Genomic DNA, 2,534 nt, shown 5'->3' with positions numbered 1-2,534 from the left:
GTCATGGAATTGCTTTCTAGGGATACTTCATTCTTCTGAGGGTTCTTCAGCCCCTTCAGTTTCTTGCCCTGATTCCTCCACATCCCAGCCAGTACCATAGTCAGTGCTGGAACTAAGTGACATGCATCGCTCGAGAGCCTCCAAACCTCATTTGATTCTCACAGAGGGAGGGTCTGTTAGGAGTCCCTCACCAGGGGTGAGGAAACTGAGTGTGGAATAGGTGAACCGCCCTTACAAGCTCATACAGTAGAGATAACAGTTTTGATTTTGACTGCCTGGCACCCCAGTCCCCCTCTCCGTGCGGCCCTCCACCTTCCTTGGGGACTTGCTCTGTCACTGTCTAGCCCCTGGTCTCAGCGTTCTCCTCTGTGAAATGGGGAGTGATGACAATTGCATCCAGGGCCAGACAGGGGCCAGACCTGGTAAAATGCATTATTCCGTGTTTCAAAGATGTGTGCCTTAAGTATTTGTTTGGTGTTCATTTGGGGGAGGGTAGGCTAAGAGAAAGGCTAAGGTTTCCACTAGGCCAGGAGACTAGGGGCCTTGGCTGCTGCTCCAAGGGAGTATAGCGTCCAGGCCCCTCCCGTACGAGTCAAGGAGGTTTGGGAGGTTGGGGGAGGCCTCTTACTTCTGCTTCAGGGCTTTGGGTAGCAGGGTAATCTGTTTATACTTCTCCCTTTCTTTGGGGACCTGGATTGTATTTCTGATTTATTCTGATGATATTTTAGTGCCCTTTAAAGACAGGCGCCCTGGGCTGTGGCCTGGCTCACTCCCCCTGAGACTTGCTGGTTGTAAGGATAAGATAAGAAAATGCATGGAAAATGTAGGGCAATGCTGGCACATAGTAGGTGCTTCATAAAAAGTGGTAATGGAGACTGAGTTTCATTCCCTAGCCCAGGGCAGATGAGTTCAGCCCTTGCCCAGGCTCCCTGTGCTGAGGCCCCACACAGCCAGGCTGGCCTGCCCCCCACCGCGAGGAGACTTCGGATTTTCCAAACGGGAGACAAGGAGCCCCCGGGCCTACAGCGATCCTGCTTCCCGCCCAAAGGTGGATGGTTTGGCTGCTGAGTTCCCCGAAAATTGATTCCGCATGTTGCCGACATCAGCCCGAACGTTTGCTCAGCCGTGAGGGCCCTCCGGGGAGGCTGAAACCCACACCGCCCCACCGTCCGCCCCCGGCCGCAGGCTGCCAAGCCGCTGCCCGCAGCCAACTCCCGGGCCAAGTGGTGAGCGAGGCTGGGACTGCGACGGGCAGGGGCCTCGGCCTGCCCGGCCCCCCAGGCGGCGGCCTTGACGCCACCTGGCGGCTGCGCAGGGAACTGCACTAGCATGGCAGCCCTTGGCCTGGGACCCGGGAGCGACTTGCTGGAGAGCTAACTCCGTGGAAGATGGTCCTTCTCCCATTCCAGCAACTCCCAGGGCAGGGAAATGCGGTTCCCAAGCCTGGGTTATTTTTAAACGACAGCATCCGCCATGTAGATGCTCTGTTTATGGCTAATGTTCCCAGCCAGTGAGAAGAGCTGTGCATTTAACCAAAGGCAGATGCCAAGATGGGAGCAATTAGGGTGGGCTGGGCCCGCCTATTCCCAGGCCCAGGCTGCTGGGCAGGCAGAGGGCCGGTGGGCCACCCTGAGGCTGAGGTTTCCACTAGGCGAGGAGACTGTGGGCCTTGGCTGGGCTCTGAGAGGCTGTGGCCCCCAGGCTCCTCTGGTATGGCTCAGGGAGGCCAAAGGAGGAAAGAGGAGGCCCTTCAGCATCCCATCTTCAATATCATAACTATTGACAACCTTTGCCTAGCAACAGTGCCTTATAGTTTACAAGGGGTAGGCATTGTTTTTCTCAGTTTGCTAACGAGGAAGCAGAAACTCACAGTTTTCAGAGGCTCCTTCAAGGTCATCTACATAGTGAGAGCTTCAGAGTTTTTGAGATTTTTTTCAACAGAGAACTCTGACCAAATTTCTCACCTTCCATGGCTTGTGGTCACTTTCAGACAAAAGCTCTTCACAGTCTGTTCAATGTATCCGACCAAAGCACGTGCCTACCTCTACAGCCTGCTCTTCTTCTCTGTTCCTCCTCTGCCCCCTGGCTCTTGAGAGTCCTGCCAGCCCCATGCCACCTCCTCTGGGAACTTTTCCATGGGTTCCTTCTCTGAGTTCTCTTCATGTCACTATCTCAGTGGGCCCTGATCTCAAAAATCCTAGAATCTGATTCCAGATCTGATGACCCCTTGACTAAGCATCCTTGTCCCCATTATCTCTGCCACTTAGCCTATGGCCTGACTCAGAAAAATCTTTGCTGTTGTTGAATGGGTATGTGAGCCCCTCCCAGCTGCTTAGCCCTGTGCTAAGTGGAATGGATTCCAGAGAAGGAGAAGGATCTGTGAAAATTCTTGAGAGCTCTAAGGTCTCCTCTGAGTAAAAATTGTCTAAACTAAGGCAAAGCCATATGAGTGACCGGCCAACTAGGCCTGTGAGATCAGGAGAGGCTTGGGGTGGGGCTTCCTGAAGGAAAAGGAGCGGAAACCTGGTGATGAG

The 2,534-nt window shown here is 54.1% G+C and overlaps 1 annotated feature.

Moving 5' to 3' along the window:
• Positions 1,204-1,393: a silencer, noted in NCBI's record as "silent region_3180". NCBI's record gives its function as "represses an Ori minimal core promoter by ATAC-STARR-seq in GM12878 lymphoblastoid cells {active_cell/tissue: GM12878}" and the evidence as "EXISTENCE:reporter gene assay evidence [ECO:0000049][PMID:35858748]".

Source organism: Homo sapiens, chromosome 11, assembly GCF_000001405.40.
Source record: "Homo sapiens chromosome 11, GRCh38.p14 Primary Assembly".
NCBI classification, from domain to species: domain Eukaryota; kingdom Metazoa; phylum Chordata; class Mammalia; order Primates; family Hominidae; genus Homo; species Homo sapiens.
Note: the sequence above shows the minus strand (reverse complement) of the source record. Positions and strands in the feature narration are given on the sequence as shown.